Source organism: Homo sapiens, chromosome 8 (assembly GCF_000001405.40).
Source record: "Homo sapiens chromosome 8, GRCh38.p14 Primary Assembly".
Lineage (NCBI taxonomy): Eukaryota > Metazoa > Chordata > Mammalia > Primates > Hominidae > Homo > Homo sapiens.
Genome location: NC_000008.11, coordinates 531196 through 552206, shown reverse-complemented (window position 1 = coordinate 552206; position 21011 = coordinate 531196). Strand labels below are relative to the sequence as shown.

General features: G+C 44.2%; 1 protein-coding gene across 4 annotated transcripts in view, besides 4 other annotated features; it reads left to right on the top strand.

The window, feature by feature from the left end:
• Positions 5894 to 6394: an enhancer, noted in NCBI's record as "H3K27ac hESC enhancer chr8:495813-496313 (GRCh37/hg19 assembly coordinates)". NCBI's record gives its function as "activates a minimal SCP1, AML or CMV promoter by ChIP-STARR-seq in naive H9 embryonic stem cells {active_cell/tissue: H9 hESC(naive)}" and the evidence as "EXISTENCE:reporter gene assay evidence [ECO:0000049][PMID:30033119]".
• The window catches only part of TDRP (testis development related protein), a 55835-nt gene continuing 41250 nt past the window's right edge, over positions 6427 to 21011 (top strand). For 2 of the 4 annotated variants that reach the window (NM_001256113.2, NM_001384899.1), the window contains exon 1: positions 7373 to 7557. In NM_001256113.2, coding sequence (NP_001243042.1) covers positions 7450 to 7557 — 108 coding nt within the window. In that variant the 5' untranslated portion in view covers positions 7373 to 7449. Of the gene's footprint in view, positions 6594 to 7361; positions 7558 to 8124 lie in introns of those variants that run through there. The other 2 variants (NM_175075.5, XM_047421392.1) reach the window with 2 other exon arrangements.
• Positions 14483 to 14992: an enhancer, noted in NCBI's record as "H3K4me1 hESC enhancer chr8:487215-487724 (GRCh37/hg19 assembly coordinates)". NCBI's record gives its function as "activates a minimal SCP1, AML or CMV promoter by ChIP-STARR-seq in naive H9 embryonic stem cells {active_cell/tissue: H9 hESC(naive)}" and the evidence as "EXISTENCE:reporter gene assay evidence [ECO:0000049][PMID:30033119]".
• Positions 14993 to 15503: an enhancer, noted in NCBI's record as "H3K4me1 hESC enhancer chr8:486704-487214 (GRCh37/hg19 assembly coordinates)". NCBI's record gives its function as "activates a minimal SCP1, AML or CMV promoter by ChIP-STARR-seq in naive H9 embryonic stem cells {active_cell/tissue: H9 hESC(naive)}" and the evidence as "EXISTENCE:reporter gene assay evidence [ECO:0000049][PMID:30033119]".
• Positions 18829 to 19330: an enhancer, noted in NCBI's record as "H3K4me1 hESC enhancer chr8:482877-483378 (GRCh37/hg19 assembly coordinates)". NCBI's record gives its function as "activates a minimal SCP1, AML or CMV promoter by ChIP-STARR-seq in naive H9 embryonic stem cells {active_cell/tissue: H9 hESC(naive)}" and the evidence as "EXISTENCE:reporter gene assay evidence [ECO:0000049][PMID:30033119]".

Below are 21011 nucleotides of genomic sequence, written 5' to 3'. Positions count from 1 at the left end.
AGTTTTCAGTGCATCTCATTGATTTGCTGAGCACAATTCTCAGGTGTAATGGTTTTGCTAGGATTCAGATAGCTGTAGTGGATTAGACCAGCAGCAGACCACCAAACAGTGACCATGACCTTTATTTTTGGTGCAAGTTTAGCTTTGGGAAGTGCTTTGAAGCTTCTTCTCAGCCCAACCACTAAGCTAGTCATCGCTGGTTGTCATATAAAATCCACTTTTCATTGCACGTCACAATCCAAACGAGAAATGGTTCATTGTTGTTGCATAGAATAAGAGAAGATGACAGTTCAAGATAACGATTTTTTTAAATTTTCACTCAGCTCATGAGCCCTCACTTATTGAGCTTTTTCACCCTTCCAATTTGCTTCAAATGCTGAATGACCACAGAATGGTCGATGTTGAGTTCTTTGGCAACTTCTCGTGTACTTGTAAGTGGATAAGCTTTAATGATTGCTCCCAACTGGTGGTTGTCAACTTCTGATGGCCAGCCACTGTGCTCCTCATCTTCAAGGCTCTTGTCTCCTTTGCAAAACTTCTTGAACCACCATTGCACTGTACATTCATCAGCAGTTCCTTGGCCAAATGTGTTATTGATGTTGTGAGTTGTCTCCACTGCTTTATGGCGCATTTTGAAATCAAATAAGAAAATCACTCAAATTTGCTTTTTGTCTAACATCATTTCCATAGTCTAAATAAATATAAAACAAACAGCAAGTAGTGTCATTAGCAAAAAACATAAAGCAGTGTACGTTAAAATGATGTATAACATAACCACATTTATTTAAGACTGTATTCCAATATCAAATGGCAAATTCCAACCATGCCAAAACCACAATTACTTTTGTACCAACCTAATAGAAATTCTAAAACTGAAGAACTTACTGAATGAAAAAAATATGTATTAAATATGTATTTGAAAGCTTCCCCAATAGATCAAGCAGAAGAAAAAAATTTCAGAATGTGAAGACAGATCCTTTGAAATAACCCAGTCAGACAAATATTAAAACAAAAGAATAAAAAGGAATGAATAAAGACTACATGACAAATGGCACTCCACAAAGTGACCAAATATTCAAATTTTCAGTGTCCATGAGGGTAAAAAGCAAACAAAAGGGATACAAAACTTTTAAACAAAATAACAGCTAAAAATTTCCCAACTCTAACAAGAGGTTTAGATATTCAGACACAGGAAGCTCAGAGATCCCCAAATGGATACAATTCAGAAAGGTCTCCATAGCACCTTATAGTCAGACTGTCAAAGGTCAAAGGCAAAAACAGAATTCTAAAAACAGAAAGAGAAAAGCATCTTGTCACTTATAAGGGAAACTCCATCAGACTAACAGCATATTTCTCAGCAGAAACCTTACAGGTCAGGAGATAATTGGACAATATAGTCACTGTGCTGAAAGAAAAAATGTTAGTCAAGGATACTGTACTCAGCAGAGTTATAGTTCATAGATGAAGGAGAAATAAAGTCTTTCCCAGATAAACAAAAGCAGAAGGAAGTAATCACCACTAGACTGGCCCTAAAAGAAATACTTAAGGGAGGCTGTATTAGTCTGTTTTCATGCTGCTGATAAAGGCATACCCGAGACTGGGCAACTTACAAAAGAAAGAGGCTTAATGGACTTACAGTTCCACGTGGCTGGGGAAGCCTCAGAATCATAGTGGAAGGCAAGGAGGAGAAAGTCATGTCTTACATGGATGGCAGCAGGCAGAGAAAGAGAGTTTGTGCAGGAAAACTCCTGTATTTAAACCCATCGGATCTCATGAGACTTACCACTATCATGAGAACAGCACGAGAAAGACTCATCCCCATGATTCAATGATCTCCCACCAGCTCCCTCCCACAACATGTTGGAATTATGGGAGCTACGAGATGAGATTTGGGTGGGGACACAGAGCCAAACCATATCAGAGGCCTACATCTCAAAGTAAAAGGACAATACCTGCCATCATGGAAACACATGGACGTATAAAACCCACTGGTAGAACCAATATTCAAATAAGGAAGAGAAAGGAATCAAATGTTACCACTACAGGAAACCACAAAACCACAGTGACAAACAATAAGACAAAAAGAAAAGAACAAAGGATATACAAAACAACCAGAAATCAATTAATAAAATGACAAAGATAAGGCTTCATATATCAATAATTGCCTTCAATGTAATGGATTAAACTTTTCACATAAAATATACACGTAAGTTGTGTGGATTTAAAAATGACCTTTAAGTGCACAATAGACAACTGTTGAAAGAAACGAACAAAAATATGACCTAATTATGTACTGTGTACAAGAAAGTCACCTCACTTGTAAAGTGAGACACATATAGTCTGAAAGCAAAGGGATGGAAAAAGATACTCCATGCAAATGGAAACCAAAGGTAAGCAGGAGTAGTTATACTTATATCAGATAAAACAGACTAAGTGAAACATAGTAAAAAAAAGACAAAGAAGGTCATTATATAATGATAAAGGGATTCATTCAGCAAGAGGATATAACAATTCTAAACATATATGCACCAAACACCATAGCACCTAGATAAATAAAGCAAATATTAGATCTCCAGGGGGAGCAAGACTCCAATACGATAATAGGTGAAAACTGCAACACCCCACTCTCAGCATTAGGCAAATCATCTACACAGAAAATCAGCAAAGAAGCATGGGGGTTTAAACTGTACTTTAGACCAAATAGACCAAACTGACATTTAGAGAACATTTCACCCAACGACTACAGAATATACATTCTTCTCATCAGCACATGGAACATTCTCCAGAATAGACCGTATGTCAGGATACAAAACAAGTCTCAACAAATTTTTAAAAATCAAAATCATACCAAATATCTTCTCAGACCACAGTGAAGTAAAACTATAAATCAATAACAAGAAGAACTTTGAAAACTGTACAAATACATAGAAATTAAGCCACGTGCATCTGAATGACCACTGAGTCAAGGACGAAATTAAGAAGAAAATAAAAAAATGTTTTGAAATAAATGAAAATCAAAACACAACATATCAAAGCCTATGGGATAACAAAAAACCAGTGCTAAGAAGGAAGTTTACAGCTATAAATGCTTACATCAAAAAAGTAGAAAGGCTAGGCATGGTGGCTTATTCCTGTAATCCCAGCACTTTGGGAGGCTGAGGTGGGAGGATTGCTGAGGACAGGAATAGACATTTCTCAAAAGAAGACATACTTACAAATGGCCAACAAGTATATGAAAAAATGCTCAACGTCACTAATTATCTGGGAAATGCAAATCAAAACCACAATGAAATATCATCTTACTCCAGTTATAATGGCTATTACTAAAAAGACAAGAAATAGGCCAGGTGTGGTGGCTCATGCCTGTAATCCTAGCACTTTGGGAGGCCGAGGTGGCCAGATCACGAGGTCAGGAGATAGAGACCATCCTGGCTAACGCGGTGAAACCCCGTCTCTACTAAAAATACAAAAAATTAGCCAGGCATGGTGGCACGCGCCAGTAGTCCCAGCTACTCGGGAGGCTGAGGCAGGAGAATCGCTTGAACCTGGGAGGCGGAGGTTGCAGTGAGCCGAGATCGTGCCACTGTACTCCAGCCTGGGTGACAGAGAGAGACTCCGTCTAAAAAAAAAAAGAAAAGAAAAAAATAAAGAGACAAGAAATAACAGATGCTGGCATGGATGTGGAGAAAAGGGAGCTTATACACTGTTGGTGAGAATATAAATTAGTACAGCCATAGAGATTTCTCAAAAAAAAAAAAAAAAACCCACTAAAAATAAGCTACCATATGATCCAGCAATCCCACTATTGGATATTTATCCAAAGGAAAGAAAATTGTTATATCAAAGGGATATTTGCATACCCATGTTTATTGAAGCATTAATCACAATAGTAAAGATATGGAGTCAACCTAAGTGTCCATCAACAGATGAATGGATGAAGAAAATGTGGTGCATATACAGAATGGAATAGTATTTGGTCATAAAAAGGAATCATATCCTGTCATTTGCAGCAACATGGATGGAACTGGAGATCATTATGTTAAGTGAAATAAGCCAGACATAGACAAATATCACATGTTCTCACTCATATGTGAGAGCTAAAAAAAAATCCTGATATCCTGGAGGTAGAGAATAGAATGGTAGTTACCAGATGCTGGGAAGGTGTGTATGTTGGGGGAGAAGTAAAGTCAGGTTGGTTAATGAGTACAAACATGCAGTTAGAAGGCAATGTTTGATAGGAGAGTAGTGTAGCTATAGTTAGTAACAATGCATTGTATAGTCCAAAATAGCTAGAAAGGAAAACTTGAAATATTACCAACACATAGAATTGAAAAATACCCAAGTTGATATATACCCCAAATATCCTAACTTGATCATTACACATTCCGTGCTTGTAACAATATATCAAATGTACCCCCAAATATGTAAAATATTATGTATCCATTTTTTAAAAAAGTCAGAGGACTGAGGGTACAACTGTCTTAAGATCCAGCCTCTGCCGAATCACCTCCATGGATAAGAAACTTGTAGTTTTTAAACAGCTTTGGTTGCTAGAAAGTTCTATATGGCACCCCAAACCCCACTCCTATTTAAAATTAAGTCTGCCAGAGCAAAATCTCACTAAATTGAGCCTTATGCATTTTGAATTCAGAGAGAGATGACACGCTTGATCTTTACATCTAAAAAATTAGAGTTCCTGTACCAGTGAATTTTCAGTGGCCAAATTAGCCAATAAGGGCAATTCAGTTTAAAATGAATAGCTTCCTTCAACTGAGGCCTCAGCAGATGAAAAGGTTGTTTAACCATGACTTTCTCGATCCCAAAATGGATTTTTAGTGGTAACAATTGTATTTTTATGACACTGGATTGTGTAAAGTATGCCTCTTATGGACCTTAACAATAGCATGACTTAATTATATAAAACTCATAGAGGAGCTAATGAATGAACTGAGTCAAATTCATAGTACTCGGGAAAGTTCTTCTCAAAATTCCAGAAATGCCTGCTGCTCCGTAACAGCCGTTTCACCGGCTTCTCCCACCCAACCCCCTTCCCTCTCATTTGTGCCAGGCCTTTAGGTTGTAGATATCCTGACTAGCTGTGCTCTTCTTCAGAAGAAAGCTAAATGTCTAAAATATTCAGTAAGTTAGCTTTTTTATTTAGCAAGGCTCACCTTCTTCCAGATTGTCATAGATTTGCAGGGGATTACAGTTTAATGACAATTCATGGAGTGGATGTTGCTAGACTGAGAGGAAGCCAGCTGTCTGGGCATAAGCCCTGTGTTCCTTCGCATTAGCCAGGGGGATTTGTGTTATTTGTCCAAGTGTTCTGAGTTGGTTTTCTGTGTTTTATTTGTAGCGTCTTTATATGGGCTGTGTTTGGATCCTGACTTTGTTTTGCAACCTCTGTTTGATAGTTTTTGACTTTCATCAGTTTGTGCTTGCAATGTGCTTATTTTGACAGCACCCCGGAGCCACACCATGCCATCTTGCATTTGCAATTTTCTAAGCCCCCTAGCCCAGGAGGCCAGGCCTATTAGGCCTTGTTTGAAAAGGAGCATATATACATTTTTAACATTCTTATTATTTGCGTGAAGATGAACTCTCAAATTTAGTTTGTACTGGGTGGAGTGGTCCTTAGTAGGCGCCAGTGTTTAATTCTATTTCGTGATGTTTGCGGCCGGTAGGTTTAGCGGTCACCGGGGGAGGGAGGCATGTGGGAGGGGTGCTGCCCTCCTCTCTGGGTGACGGTATAGTTAGGTTAGTATCGTTAGGTTATTATCTGGCTCTTCCCACTCGGCTGGGGGCTCCTGCCAGGCCCAGCCCCCGCCCTCCCTGTGCGTCCCGCGCCAGGGCCCCAGGTCCCCCCAGGCCTTGGGCACGGGCGCCACCCCCTCGGTTCTCCGGGATCCTGGCCGGCATCTCCCAAAGGCAGTTCAGAGCCCCTTTCATCTTAAAAGCTTTGCTGCTCATCACTTCTGGGAAACTCAAAATGTACATTTCATTTTTTTAAGAGTCGTAAAGTTACGAAGCTTGCAGTTTTCAAGGGAGCTCATAGTTCTGGATCCTCCTTCAAAATGCGCTTTTACATGACTGAACACATGAATACATATTTGGTGTAAGAAGCGATACGAAGCGCGTCGCGGGAAAAATTAACCTGCTGGGCGGGAGCGGACGCCTAGAATCCCCCGTTCCCGCGGCTCCGTCCCGGGATCGGGGGTCGCCTCGCCGGCTCCTTTCGGCCTGGGAACCAGGCGGTTCTGCCCTCAGGAATCTGTGGGCGCCTCTCCCGCTCCTGATTCTGACAAAGCCATAGCCACGCGGGAAAACGTTCTCCGGGCCCTGAGCCCCAACCTGGGCGCCGCGGGGGTCCCAAGGGTTCTGCGCGGCCCGGCACCACGGCCCCATCCCCGCCCCCCACCGCCGTCAGTCCGGGCCGAGCCCGCGGCGCCCCAGGCCCCAGCGGCCCCACCGCCCACCAGGGCTGGGCGAGGCTTCCTCCCGGCGCCCCCACTATCCCGCGACCTCGGGCGCCGGAGGGGATGAGTCCCGGATGCCCGGCGCCCAGGCCCCGAGGGATGCCCTGAAGCGCTGGGGTACAGGCGCCGCTCCGCGGACTGTGCCCCCTCCACCTTCCCCTCAGCCTTGCCGCGGCCTGAGCGCCAGCGGCGCGCATGCGCACTGCGCTCCCGGCCGTTGCCTTGGTGACCCGAGCGGACGTGGCCACGCCCTCCGGCCAGGGTCTGGGAAAGGGTGGGGGGAGGGGGCAGTCCGGGAGTAAGTGGGGGTCGGCGGGGGAGAAGGAGAGAACCGGGAGAGGGGAATTTGCGGGGGCCGGGTGGGGGCTCGGGGGTAGAGGAGGACCCAGGGAACCGGGGATAGGGCAGGGCTAGGGGCTCGGTGGGGGCTCAGGATGGGGGCGTTTCCGGGTGAGGAAGCAGCTAGGGGCGGGTAGGTGGGGGTCAAGGTGGGGGGACCAGGTGACGGGGTAGCCTGGGGTGAGGACGTCGTTCAGTAGAACAGTGAAGGGCGAGGGTCTCGCCGGGGCGGTGGCGGGGACCACACTGGGAGGAGGGGGCCGGGGTTGACCTTTCTGTGGGGGATGGGATTCGGAGCCCCGTCGAATTTGGGGGTGGGTCTGGTCCTGGGGAAGGTTTGGGGGCGGGTCTGGTCTTCGGAAGGGTTTGGGGCGGGCCTGGTCCTGAGGAGGGCTTGGAGCGGGCCTGGTTCTGGGGATGGTTTGGGGGCGGGCCGGGTCCTGGGGAGGGTTTGGGGCGGGCCTGGTGGGGAGGGGGCGGGCCTAGTTCTGGGGGTGCCCCGCCCCCGCCTAGCCCCGCCCGGCCCACTGGGCCCGCGTCCCGCAGGAGCCGCAGGCAGAGCGTCCGGCGGCCGGGAGGGACGCGGAGCCACAGCCCGACGCACGGACGGAGGGACGCCGGAGCCCGCCTGACCATGTGGAAGCTGGGCCGGGGCCGAGTGCTGCTGGACGAGCCCCCCGAGGAGGAGGACGGCCTGCGTGGGGGGCCGCCACCGGCCGCCGCCGCCGCCGCCCAGGCGCAGGTGAGGGGGTGCGCAGGTGGGGAGTGCTAGTAGGCCGGGGGCGCGCAGGTGGAGGGCGAGGGTGGGCGGCGCGCAGGTGGAGGTGCGGGTAGTTGGGGGCACAGTTTGGGCGGGCAGGTGAGGTTGGGGCCGCGTAGCTCCGGGGCGCGGCCCGCTAGGTGCCCGAGTGCGGAGTCGGAGAACTTGACCCGAGGCTCGTCCTGGGCTGAGTTGCCGCTGTGGTCCGCGTGGACCCACTCCCCGCTTAACTGGCCAGGGCTGCCGGCGTTCTCGCCGCTTGCAGGGGACCCAGTGCCCCCTGCACGTGTTACTCGGGGCGCAGTCCCAGGAGAGCGGGGACGCAGTGCGCGCACCCCGCGGCGCGGGCGTCGTGGGCCCGGGACGCAGAGGTCCACGCCGGGTGCTCGCGTCCCGGGTGGAGCTGGCGGAGAAGGCCTGAATCATCGCGCATCCGGACGGCCTCCTCGCGGACACTAAGCAGCTTTGGACGACCGTAGCTCAATGTTAAGTGGGCTAAATGTTTGTTTGCATAACAAGTATTTTCTTAAATTCTTGATTTTTCTGAAGGAAGCCGGCAGAAGTCCTTTGTACTGAAAACTGAAAGGCCTTTACCTGACGAGTGTAGAGATATGTTTGGTATGTCTAGAATTTTGTAATTGAAAGGGCTCCCAGGTGGGCCCTGTGTGCCTTAGACGTGCCCTCCCCCACCCCCTCCCCCCCCCTCCCTTTTTCCATTGCAGTGCTCTTTTTCATGTACAATGAAATTTAGGTCAGAAATCCAGCATTCTGGATCATAAAATATCTCTTTCTGTTAAACGTGTGGCAACTTCCTCCTGATGCTGTTAAGGCCGAATGGAATATAAGGATTTGTACCTGTCTTCCGAGGACTTGGAAATAGTTTCTGAGCAGAAGAGTTTCTCTTAGGGTCTGGAGTTGTTTCTTCTTGATAGAGATTTTCTATGAACGTTAAATTCCATTCCTAACTCATGGAAAATGGAGCCGATTATGTTAAGCGCTTAAATATGGTTACTATCTGAACTTGTCTGAGAAATTTCTTTTAGGTAGCGTTAGTGCTTACGTGCCTTTTTTTTTTTTAATTTCAGAATGTTATAGTTACTCTAAACAGCTCTCTTCTTGAATGTAATGATGAGAATTTATATGTGGCTACAGAGTTAACTGCAGAAGCTACAAATAACTAATATTGGTCAAAGATGAGCCATATTATTGTTTCTGGATAGAGCCTTGAGAATTTTAAACTGAGTCTTCCTATGTTCTCCCATTTTTCCTAATGAATCCTGAAACCCACTTTTTTTTCTTAAGTTTTTATTTTTTATTTTGAGACAGGGTCTTGCCCCGTTTACTAGGCTGGAGTGCAGTGGCGCAATCTCGGCTCACTACGGCCTCAACCTGCCTGGGCTCAAGCTATTCTCCTCTCTCAGCCTCTGTAGTAGCTGGGACTACAAGTGCGCACCACCTCACCTGGCTAATTTTAAAAAACCGTTTTTGTGGAAATGGGGTCTTGCTATGTTGTCCAGGCAGATCTGAAACTCCTGGGCTCACGTGATCCGCCCGCCTCAGCCTCCCAAGGTACTAGGATCACAGGCGTGAGTCACCACGCCTGGCCTTAAGTTCTTACTTTGAAAAATTTCTAACATGCGGAAAAGTAGAAGAATAGGAGATTCTTCCTCGTATCCTCCAGCTAGATTCAATTGCTGGCAGTGCCTTCGTTAAAGCTCCTTTTCTGATTTTCCCTTTACACAATTGTCATCTATACTTTTTTTTTTTTTTTTTTGAGATGAAGTTTCGCTCTTGTCGCCCAGGGTGGGGTGCAGTGGCGTGATCTCAGCTCACTGCACCCTCCCGGGTTCAAGTGATTCTCCTGCCTCAGCCTCTTGAGTAGCTGGGATTACGAGCATGTGTCACCACGCCTGGCTAATTTTGTATTTTTAGTAGAGACAGAGTTGTCCATGTTGGTCAGGCTGGTCTCGAACTCATGATCTCAGGTGATCTGCCCTCCTCGGCCTTCTGAAGTGCTGGGATTACAGGCGTGAGCCACCGCGCCTGGCCTGTTATCTGTACATCTAAAGTGTGTGTTGGTTTTGGGGGGAAAAAACTTTAATAGACTCTATTTTTCAGGTATCCAGTTTTAGGTGCCCAGCAAATTTGAGGAGAAAGTACAGAGAGTTCTCATGGATCCCCAGCCCCCCACTATCATCACCCCCACAGAATGGTGCGTTTGTTACAATCTGTGGACCTACACGGGCTCATGGTCCTCACCTGGGAGGGCTCACTCGTTGTGCATTCTGTGGTTTGGACAAATGTGTACTGACGTTTGCCCACCATTGTAGTGTCACACACAGGAGTTTTGCTGCCTTAGAGACCCTCTGTGCACCCTCCCTCCCCGGAACCCCTGGCAAACATTGATCTTTGTACTGTCGCCATAGTTTTCCAGAATGTCATTTGGTTGCATTCACAGTGTGTAGCTTTTTCAGGTAGGTTTCTCTCACTTAGAAAGATGCATTTAAGGTTCCTGCATTTCTTTTCACGGCTTGTAGCTCGTTTCTTTTTAGCACTGAATAGTATTCCACTGTTTGGGTGTACCACAGTTTATCCCTTCACCCTCTGGAGGGCATGTTGGTTGCTTTCACGTTTTGGCAATTATGAATAAACATCAGTTTATTCATAGACCAGCTGTAAACATCAGGTGCAGGTTTTTGTGTGAATTTAAGTTTCCAACTTGGGTAAATACCTAGGAGCCTGATTGCTGGATTGCATGGTGAGAGTGTTTAGTTTTATAAGAAACCGCCAAACCGTCTTCCAAAGTGGCTGCACCAGTTTGCACTCCCATGGACAAGGAATGAGATTTCCTTTTGCTCCACCTCCTTGCCAGCATTTGGTGCTGTCAGTATGTAGACTTTGTCCATCCTAGTAGGTGTGTGGTGGTTTCTCTTTGTCTTGAATTGCGATTCCCTGATGATAAATGACATGAGCATCTTTTCAGACGCATACTTGTCATCTGTGTCCCTTTTTTGGTGAGGTGTCTGTTTAGATCTTTCTCCGCATTTTTTAATTAGGTGGTTTGATTTCTCATTGTTGAGTTTTAAGAGTTCTTTGTATGTTTTGGATACTAGTTCTTTATATGTATGTGTTCTATAAAGATTTTCTCCCAATCTGTGGCTTCACATTCTCTTGACAGTGTCTTTTTCAGAGCAGAAGTTTTTAATTTTAATGAAGCTTCACTATGAATTATTTCTTTGATGGATGTGCCTTTGGTATTATATTGAAAAAGCCATCACTGTACCCAAGGTTTTCCCAGTTATGTGCTAGTTGTGAATTTTGACTGTGGTTTTTATGTTACTTTATTAAGGTTATCCAAAGTTTGTGTTGAAAAACATTGCTATATAAAAATAGAGAAAATTTGTGTTAATTATGACAGATTAGTCTTATTCTAAATTTAGTTAATTTCTTCAAGAGGACTGATCTTTATTGCAAAGCTAACTTAGAATTAAGATGTTAGAATTAAATTAGAATTAAATTTTGAAATTCATGAAGAGTCATAAAACTTCTGCCTACAAAATTTTAAAGTTGAGAGAAGTAGGAATTAATATGCAAATAGGATTTAATGAATCTGTTAAATTCACTGTCATGTTAGAAGTTCTCAATTCTGTTTCATTCTTGGTCTTTTGTCCTACCCTCCAAATCTGTCAGTCAGTGTGATGTTAAACGTGCAGGTTGAGAGCACATTCTGCTTGATTCTAGAAAGGCATTCAGTTTGCAATCATATCCGTCCTGTTGCCTTTCTTGAACATCAGGTTACACACCTTTTTTTTTTTTTTTTTTTTTACGTGAAAAAGTAGATAATATTAGGTTCCAATAAATTTGAAATGTGAAGCATTCAAAATTACTTAGATTTATGGGACACTTAACTATTACTAAAATAATTTTAACATTTTAGAAAATAAACTTCTCTGAGAATCTTTTTAGGCTATGGGCCCTTTTTTTTGGTCATAAATACACATCTATTTTGTATTAACATATAACCGCAAGGTTTGTAAGGAGAATCATTCATTGCAATCCTCCAACAGAAAGACGCAAGTTTTCATGAATCTAATGTTACTTGAAGAAAAACTGCTAATGCATATGGTAAAATATTTGTTGAGATTGTCAGGTCTTAACTTCTTCAAAGTTTCTAATGGGAAACATTGTTAAGCTCTTTTGTATATCTGTCCATGAAACATTTATGCAGATACATAGGTGTGTGTTCAGAAACAAAGATTTGCTGTCTCACTGTTAACATTTTTCTGTACCTTGAGTTCCCTTCATAATATGTGTCTCATGGAGTGCTTCCCGTTTCAGTACTGCTAGTTGGAAAAAATCCATTTTAAGGCTGTGGGATACTAAATGATATTAAATTTCTGTGACAAAATTTATTTCATTGGGCCTCTTACGGTGAATATAAAGGTTGCTGAGCCGTCTTCTAACCTCTGCCCTCAAAGTTTTATGCAAATAGTAGAGAAAAGAAGTGCAGAGATCTGTTCAACATGGATGGTTTAGATGGGTCTGACATGGACAGTGTAGAAGAGTTCATCAGTTGCCTCTAAACTGGATTGCATAGGGATTTGGCTAGGCTTAACTAATGGCTTTCTAAACAAAACTCAGAATTTTTGACATATTTTCACTTACAAATTTAAAAAGCTTAGACATATTCTGTAGACATTGCAAAGAAAAAAGACATCAAGGAGTGTTTCAGGTGTTTTAAAATCATGCTTGGAGATGGGGAGAGCCAAGGAATAGTGAATCTTAGTTTAGATGACACAAAGTCACACTTTTATGACACTGTGAGGCTCTGTGACGTTTGCTTTAGTGGTGTCTGGGAAGAAAGAAGTGGAGTAACGTATTGACGATCGCTCTGAAATCCAGAAAAGGCCTGATGTTCTGCTGGAGGGCGGGTATGTGGGGAGGCAGAGGCCTTTCTCTCCCTGCTTGTATAGCTAACATTTTGTTACTGTTTTCCGTTATTTCTCTTTAGAAATAAAGCTGTTTTCTTAAGCAGACATTAACCTGCAGTAAACACCTTCACACCTGCCTTTTCCCATTTGCAGTAAGTTGTAGCCCTTACCAGTACATGAAGAGCTTCCTCATTCTTTCGTCTGTGTTTGTGTGTTAAATGTTATACAGTCATCCTAGTTCATTCAGGCCACTGTAACAGAATAGGATAAACTGGGCAGCTTCAACAACAAACATTTATTTCTCCAGTTCCAGAGGCTGGAAGTTTTAAATCAGGGTGCTTCGTTCTTGGTGAGGGGCTGCTTCCTGGTTTGCAGAGGCCACTGCCTTCACACTACATCCTCTCAAGGCAGAGGGAGCTCCAGCTTCTTACCACCATATTAGGACACTCATCCCATCGTGCCGGCCCCACCCTCGTGACTCCCATCTCACCCTGATCACCTCTTACATACCCACCTGCACATGCCATCACATGAGGGGATGTGAGTTCTGGGGACACAAACATTCAGTCCACAGCAATTGCATTTCCTTACGTGGATATACAGGATTTTAAATACAAATTGAAAAAACGAGTCCCCTATTGATGCCTTCAGGGGGATATTTCTAGTCTCTTTCTATTATAGGCCTGCAGGATAGTTATTTCACAAGTCTAGAAGTGGAGCTGTCCGAGGATGCGTGCATTTGTGGTTTTGATGGATGTCTCCAAATTGCCCTCTGAAAGAGGCGGTCCTGGTTTACGTTCCAACCAGCAGCATATGCGAATGTTTCTCACCAGTGTGGTGAGATGCGCATGTCTTCAAGATTTTAGATCTGATGGGGGGAAAAGTTGCATCTTAATGTGATTTTAATTTGCCTTTCTCTTATTTATATTCAATAGCTTCTTAGATGTTCACAAGCCTAATGAAGACTTCTAAAGACTTCTCCCCCAGTCCCACTACCATGTCATTGAATGTATGGAACTGTAGTCAAGATAACTGTATTTGCATGAAAATACAGTTGGGTAGTTTAGATTTGGACTTGGTTTCTGGTGAGCCTTGATTGAATCTACACCCTATCTCTGCCTTTTGTTGAGCCACTTGACCTAGCCAAGTATCAGTTTTGTTTTTTAGCTGTAAAATTGGGATAAATAGAGCTATCACTAGTGTTTATTGAGGCGGTGCTTAGCCCCTGTTCATAAATTCTTGATATGGGTTGGTGCCACCATCTGACACATGGGCACAAAGGAGGAGGGACCGGGAAGGCTACACAGCTGCCAACAGACTCTATCTGACCCAGCTTTAGTCAGGACCTCGCTTTTGTCCTTCCCAGCCTCAGTAGAAGTCCCTGCAGTGCGAACCTCCTCACCCTTGATGTCTGATTGAGTTCCTCATCCCCTGGCCTTGATGTCTGAGTTCTTGGCCCACCTGTAGCAAGAATCTCCCACCCTTGATGAAGTCTTCTCTTGGTCACTTCCCATCCCGAGACTCCTTTGCGGTTGGCTGCAAATCACAGCTGTCTTTGCCTGTTGGGAGCTGAACCAAACCTCTCCTCTATTGAGATAGCCTTGATTGGAGTCTCCCTGTTTTAACAATGCCGCAGAAGCTTTTTCTTTATCAGTGGTGAAAGGTTGCAGACATTTTGTTTTAAAAACAAAACCTCTTCCCAACCAAGAAAACTTAACAATATAGGAAGAGAAATAAAATAATTTTATTATGAAGGAGCACTTAGCTAGGATGGGACACATCATAGGCACAGATTGTGAAGATGAAAGAAGTCTTACTCTTTTATATAACCAAGTAGGTAAAACCCATTGTATTCATGTTTTCAAGATAAAATTGCTAAATTTATCCTATCTTTACAGGGAGGCAGGATTTGCAACTTGGAGTCAGGTGACAGCTGAAGTTAGGCTCGTCTCCTCTGGGAAATGTCCTCTTTTGTTTCAGGTAGTTGTGAGACTGATAGGAGGCTAATTTAGCATTCGACTTTAAAGGAGTCATAATTCTCAAACCCCGGTGAATTCTTACTTGTTTACAAGACCAATGAAGACTTCTAAAAACCTCGTAGTCCCCATGGCCAGTGTGTGCAAACCAGGCTGTCCTGCCCCTGGGATGAAATGAAAAAGTGAAAAGTAAATGAAGTCATCCATATCCAGCCCTTAATATTTTTCTCTGGCAAACAGACACACTAAAAGAAGAAAAAGGAGGTCTTGTTATTAAATAATAGAAATAGTTAATGCTTTTTACTGACTTAGGATTTGGTTTTCTGGTATCCCTTGCTCTGGAATGTGCTCATTGCCCGAGTTGATGTGGACAGTGGGGTGTGGTGCAGGCAGGAGGGTCCTGGGACAGCTGCATTCAGGCACTTCTCACTTGTGCGACAGGCATTCGGACATCACAAGCCTCTCTGGAGGACCATTTCATCCTAGGCTGAATGCTCAGTGCTGTATCCCCAAGACCAGGCAGGGAGCCAGCCCAGGAAGGGAGCCAGGCCCACGTGGGGCTCAGCAGTGCCCCTGAGAGGAGTGTACCTGGTGTGGGGTTTCCACATTACGGCACCTGATGGGAGCTGCAGAATTGAGTCAGGGTGGGAACTCTGGAGTCTGGAGCGGGGAGCAGGAGTTCTCCAGCCTTAGGGGAGCTGATCTTGATGCAGATTCTTTCTTGGGTAAACAGATATTTGTAGGGTTAGTCTCATTGGACTCTCATATGAGCTGAGTCAGATACTCAGTCAGCAGAAGCACTTGAGTCAAGTCTCTGTGGGTGATTACTTGAGAGGAAGCAGGAAGGGTCAGTTACGATATTATAGAAGGGAAGGAGGATCCTGGGCGCTGCTTATTCGCTCCGGATTCAGCTGGCTCCTCTTAACTGATGCTTGGGGAGCTCCTGCCTGTGGAACAGAGTGGTGCTTTCCTCCACTGAAACATAGCAAAACATTTTCTGGTGGCCACATTAAAAAGTTTTAATTCAATATTTAAAATTTGATATATTCAGCATATTACATCAATAGGTAATCAATATAAAATTTGTTAGAGATCCTTTACATTTTTTTCATACTCTCATATCTATGTGTATTTTACATTTACCAGCACAAGATATTAATATGTATCAATTTGTATGCCAAGTTTTCTTCAGAAATACTTGATCAGTATTTAGAGTTTATAAAATGTACAGGTGAAAAAACAGGTTGCTTTATCTGAGTTCTTCCAAACATACTTAAAAGTTTTCCAGTATGGAATGTTTTTAACTTGAAATTTGAATAATTAAAAACTCAGTTTGACTAGCCCTATTTCAGGTCCTCAGTAGTGTTTTTAGTGAATGCCAACTGATTTGGAAAGCACAGCTCTAGAATCTTCTCCCAGACTCAGATCAGCTCACTAAAGACGGTGGTGGATTCTTCTACTTGCTTGGGCCTGTGGAATTCCTCAAGCAATTAGCTAGGTAAATTCCAGGTGTCTCAACTGTGTGCTTTTAGTAAGCCACTGAAGGGTAGAATGATGAGGGCTTAAATATCTGCCTTTCAGGCCTTAGCATATTACTCTGTATAATCTTCACCTGTAAATGTTAATAATAGGTTGAAATTTTTATTCCTGAGAGTTTAAAACCCTAATTGATAAGGTGTACTTTTACTGATTTTTGCTAGGGCTTAAGGTGGCATGACTTAGAATGTCTAAAAGCTGCTATTCTTATTAGAGTTAGGCTGTGGGTTTCACTTTGTGAGTCAGTCACTGTCTTGAAAACTGAACGTCACTGAATGTGGAGCCCAGCTTGCTCAGCCAGGGCTGGTGGGTTCCACCCCTACACTCACACCTGCCTCGGGTGGGCCCACCCCTACGCTGAGACCTGCCTCGGGTGGGCCCACCCCTACACTGAGACCTGCCTCGGGTGGGCCCACCCCTACGCTGAGACCTGCCTCGGGTGGGCCCACCCCTACGCTCAGACCTGCCTCTGGTGGGCACTTGTCCATATGGTGGGAGGCCCTGCAGTCTGTCTTCTGCTTTTTTAAGATCACCTGTTGGGAGGAATGGGCGACTTGGCTTTACGTCTGCCTTTGGGGAGTGGATGTACATGTGGGGCTCATCAGCCTTGTCTTAGGAGTTAAAAGCCAAAGACTGAAGCTCAAGAGGATTTTACCTGTTATTTCAGAGTGAGTCAAGATGCAGTCCACGGACCAGGGACACTTCCTTTTTCTTTCCTGTCTGCTCAGGGCAGGGAGGTCGTTTTATGTTCGTTTTATCTGATCCTTCACCCCACGTTAGCTGGGGTTCTGTCTTGGTGCTGTATATAACCAGGCGAACCACAGTTTCTGCTTTGGGAGTTCTGTGGGGGTTGCTGTGAGGGAAGACTGCCTCCTCTCACCTTGGCTTTGTCTAGAAATGGTTGGACCATGAGCTAGGGTGGTGCAGCTGCTCCCAAAGACTTGGGAACCAGGCGAGTGTGTGGACAGCCCGCAGACCAGTTTGAATCTAAGGAGAGGCCTTGGGGGCTGTGGGTGTGGCTTTTTTCAAGATATTAATAAATGTATATTAAAACCATGATGTAGCTTTCTAATCTTTCAGATGGAAGTACAATATTCTGTACAAAAATGTTATAGACTAAATGGCAGATATTCTAGTTCTAGTGTTTGAAAGATAACGAGTCCTTTTATCAAGGCTGCTGTTGTGGGCAGAGAATGGAATGCTTTTTACTCAGAATGCGTTGTGTCGTTTTTAGTCAGAGCGTGTCTTGGTTTGGAGGATAGAATCCTGGATAATGATACTGGTGCCTGCCATGTGCTGGGCATTGGAGTGAGTGCTTTACAGCTATTGCAGCTTCTCACAATAGCCCAAAAAGTAGTTACAGTTCATATTCATTATTTGTGGATTCCATATTTGCAATTTCAGCTTCTTGCTAAAATTTATTTGTAATCCGCAAATCAGTACTCACAGTGCCTTCAAAGTCGTCCACAACTTGCAGAGCAGCAAACACTCATCATCACCCAGCGAGCTCCTTCCCAGCTGAGGCATGTGTCTTTCCTGCAGTCTATTGAGAACTACCTTTTTTTTACATGTTTGTGCTTGCGTATGATTTCACTGTTTTTCACAGCCCCCAAGTATAGTGCTAAAGCACTGGCTAGTGTTCCCAAGCACAAGAAAGCTGTGGCACTCCCTACGGAGGGAGCACCTGTGTTAGAGATGGCTCAGGCATGAGTTACAGGGCTGGTGGCTGAGAGTTCGGTGTGAATGAATCAACAGCAGGTATTAAAGCAGGCATCTTTAAACAAATACATGTAAAACAAGGTCACACATTGTTGATGAAAAGTTGTTATTCAGAGGCTCGCGGGAACCCTAGCCTTGTGTTTCCCTTAACAGCAATAATTTAGTATTTGCTAATTGACTGTGGCAACTTTGTACAACATAACTACTGTGAATAATGAGATTAAACTGTATTTTATATTCGATGATCTTAGAGAAGTTAAATAACTCGTGTAAAGTTACAACCTTGTAAATAATTTGTGTTAGTAGCCACCAGTAGGAATTTGAATCCAAGTTTCTCTGGGTTTATATTCTTTGTTGAATTCTCTTACCTTATAGGTTATGACAAATTTCTGATACCATTTTTCTTCATTTTCCAATTTTTAAAAATATTAAATAACTAGGGCTTCAACAATCAGTGCCTTTTGAAAGCACTGATAAAATTGTGTTTTGGCTCAATTTTCAATACAGTAAACATGACAGTGTACTTTTAATTTTTGTCATGCTTGAGTTTTGTATTAAAGAGTTTCTTGTATTAAAGAGTCTTACTATGGGAGATAAACAGTTCTCGGTAAATTAGCAAGTGAGAAGCGCTAGAACATTGCGAGGAAAGAGAACCGGTGTACATCTGCCTACCCTATACTTTATATACTTCCCTTTTTTCTTCGTGATCGGGGGAGGGGGATAGAAAATGAAGCAGTTGAACTGACACAGGAGGGCTGTACAGGGAAGAACTGGGAAAATCCCATTAAGGAGTGGAGGCTTCATTTCTTAGCTGAATGTTGAAGAATTCTGAGTAACCCCTTGGTTGTATTTTGCAAAGACTACCTGTTTAAGGAGGAGGGGTTGGGGGCAAGATGCCGATGAAACGTCTGGGGTTCTAGTCAGGGAGGTCAGCTGTGAAATGAGAACCTGAGTTTCAGATGGAAGATTTGTCAGGACATGTAGGAAAAGGTGAGCTTGCCAAAGAGTGCTGATCAGAGTTGGTGCCTTTGGATGTGGAGATGAAGGCAGAAAAGCAGCTGCAGGTGAAAGTTTTGAGCTAGGGTTGTCAGGAGAAGGGCGTGCCCTGACAGTCGCAAGGAACTCCCTGGGGTGGCCTGGCTGTGGGAGCAGCCCAATGAGGCTGCGATGGACGTGCTGGCTTTGAAATGTTACCTGCTGTCCAGAGTTGAGGAGCCCAGCAGTGACATGGGGTCAGAAGGGAGAGGCTTATGTGCTTCTGGCTTGTGACACTGTCAAAAATGTACAAGAACCTGGTTCTCCACTTCAGAACTCATAATTTGTTGTTGAGTGGTTGAGACCAGGAAGAACAAGGGGAGACAGCATGGTGCTAGAAAAGCCTCTCTGAAGTGGTCTGGAGGCAGGCCTGGGTCCCAGCGCTGGTACTCATTTTGGGACTTTGGGGCAAATGAGTTCCTCTCTCCAGACTTCCTGTTTTAAGTAAGGGCTCTAGAGCAGGAGTCAGCAAACTTTTACTGTAAAGGAAGGGATAGTAACTGTTTTAGGCTTTGGGGTCCATGCAGTGTCAGAACCACTCAGCTCTGCAGTTGCAGGTGAAAGCAGCCGTAGGCAACTTGTAAATGAACGATCGTGGCTGGGTTCCAGTATAGTGACTTTATTTACAAACACAGGCCGTTATTTGCTGACCCTTAGTTTAGACTAAAGGATCTTTGAAATCTCTTCTGACTGTAAGGTAACTTATTAGAGTTTGTGATACAGAATTTGTTGTGATTTAGGGTAAAAATAGGAAGTCTTAATGCTAAACTCAGAAATAAATAGCATAGTCATGAAGCTGACTTATATTCTTCCGGAGCTTCCATTGTATTAGCAAGTGTGCATTTGTATAGTTTTAAGCGCTTTTGCATAAATGGTCTTATTTGGTCCTTATCCTATGATAAAATGAACAAGATGATACTCAAGGAGAAAACATTTAGAACAGTTGTGATTGTATTCATGGTCTTCACCCTAGCAGAGTATAGAAGCTAGAAGAGCTGGAGTGCATTTCTGTAGTCAGCAAGAACTGTGTGATGGGTTCATCATCTTGCTAGGGAGCCTGGGGGCTAATATGTGCCCTTCTGAGACAGATTGCAGGTTTCCCCCAGTAGCAGGTTTCAGTGGGTGCATGGCTGCCACACAGCCTGAAGTCCCAGCATCCTTCACCCTGCAAGGCTCATGACTGAGTGCTGGCCACCACATGTGAGCAGATGCAACACAGGCACCTTCCTGGATGTGTCCTGCTGCCTCTGTTTCCCCTTCACAGAGGTTAGTGGATGTGGTGCACTCTCTTTCACCCTATGGATGAGAGCAGTGTCCAGAGGTGGCAGAGGAATTAAAGGCAAGAACCTGGATTTCTGACACTGTTGAACACCTAACTGTTCTCCTGGACTTAGGAGAAAAAGAAATATAAACCATGTCTTTTGTTTGTTTTGTTCTGCTATAGCAGCAAAGTGTATCACAGTCAGGAGATTTTATTACGCAACCACCGCAGGGCCCACTGTCAGAGTACTGCTTGAAATCCCCCCATTCCTGTTCCAATTTCTTAAACCATAAAATACTAGGTTGAAATAATATGTGGTGTGATTCAATGTTTTCTTGTAACTACTCACATCTCCTTTTAGCTATTCTTTGCCAGATATTTGGCTGTGGTTAATACTAAGCTTGTGGACTGAAGATGATTAATATTTCAAAATAAAGTTTTATAGTGATATTTTTAAAAAATGAAGTTTTGTCCCCACAGTATAACTCAGACATTTGTTTGATGTGGAAAGAAGTTGTGCCAAGAAATTTTAGAGAAAAGACAGTCTGTAACTGTGATTAAAGATGGCATCCTTACGCCTTTTCATTTTTGTCGTAGATAAAAAGTGTCCGTATGTGTGGTTTCTTCTGACACCAACCAATTCTTCAGTACCAGCTGGGTGTCCTACAATTCAGTTTCCTTCTGACATTCCCTTCCCAGAATTAGCACAGATCCTATGGATTAAGGAGTCATTCCCGCAAGACTGCACCCACTTCAGATGCCAGATACCAACGGGTGCCCAATTCACCATAAGTCTCTTATGCCACTCCACATAAAATGTCTGATGTCAGCACAATGGTGGAGTGGAAAGTCCCGGACCTTGTTCCCCCACGGACTCTGACTGACAACAATATACAGTCCAAAAGGATGTATGAGAATTACAGAAACCAGTTTAGAAGTCACAGTACCCCAGGCAAGCTCAAAGCCAAGAACAGCTGC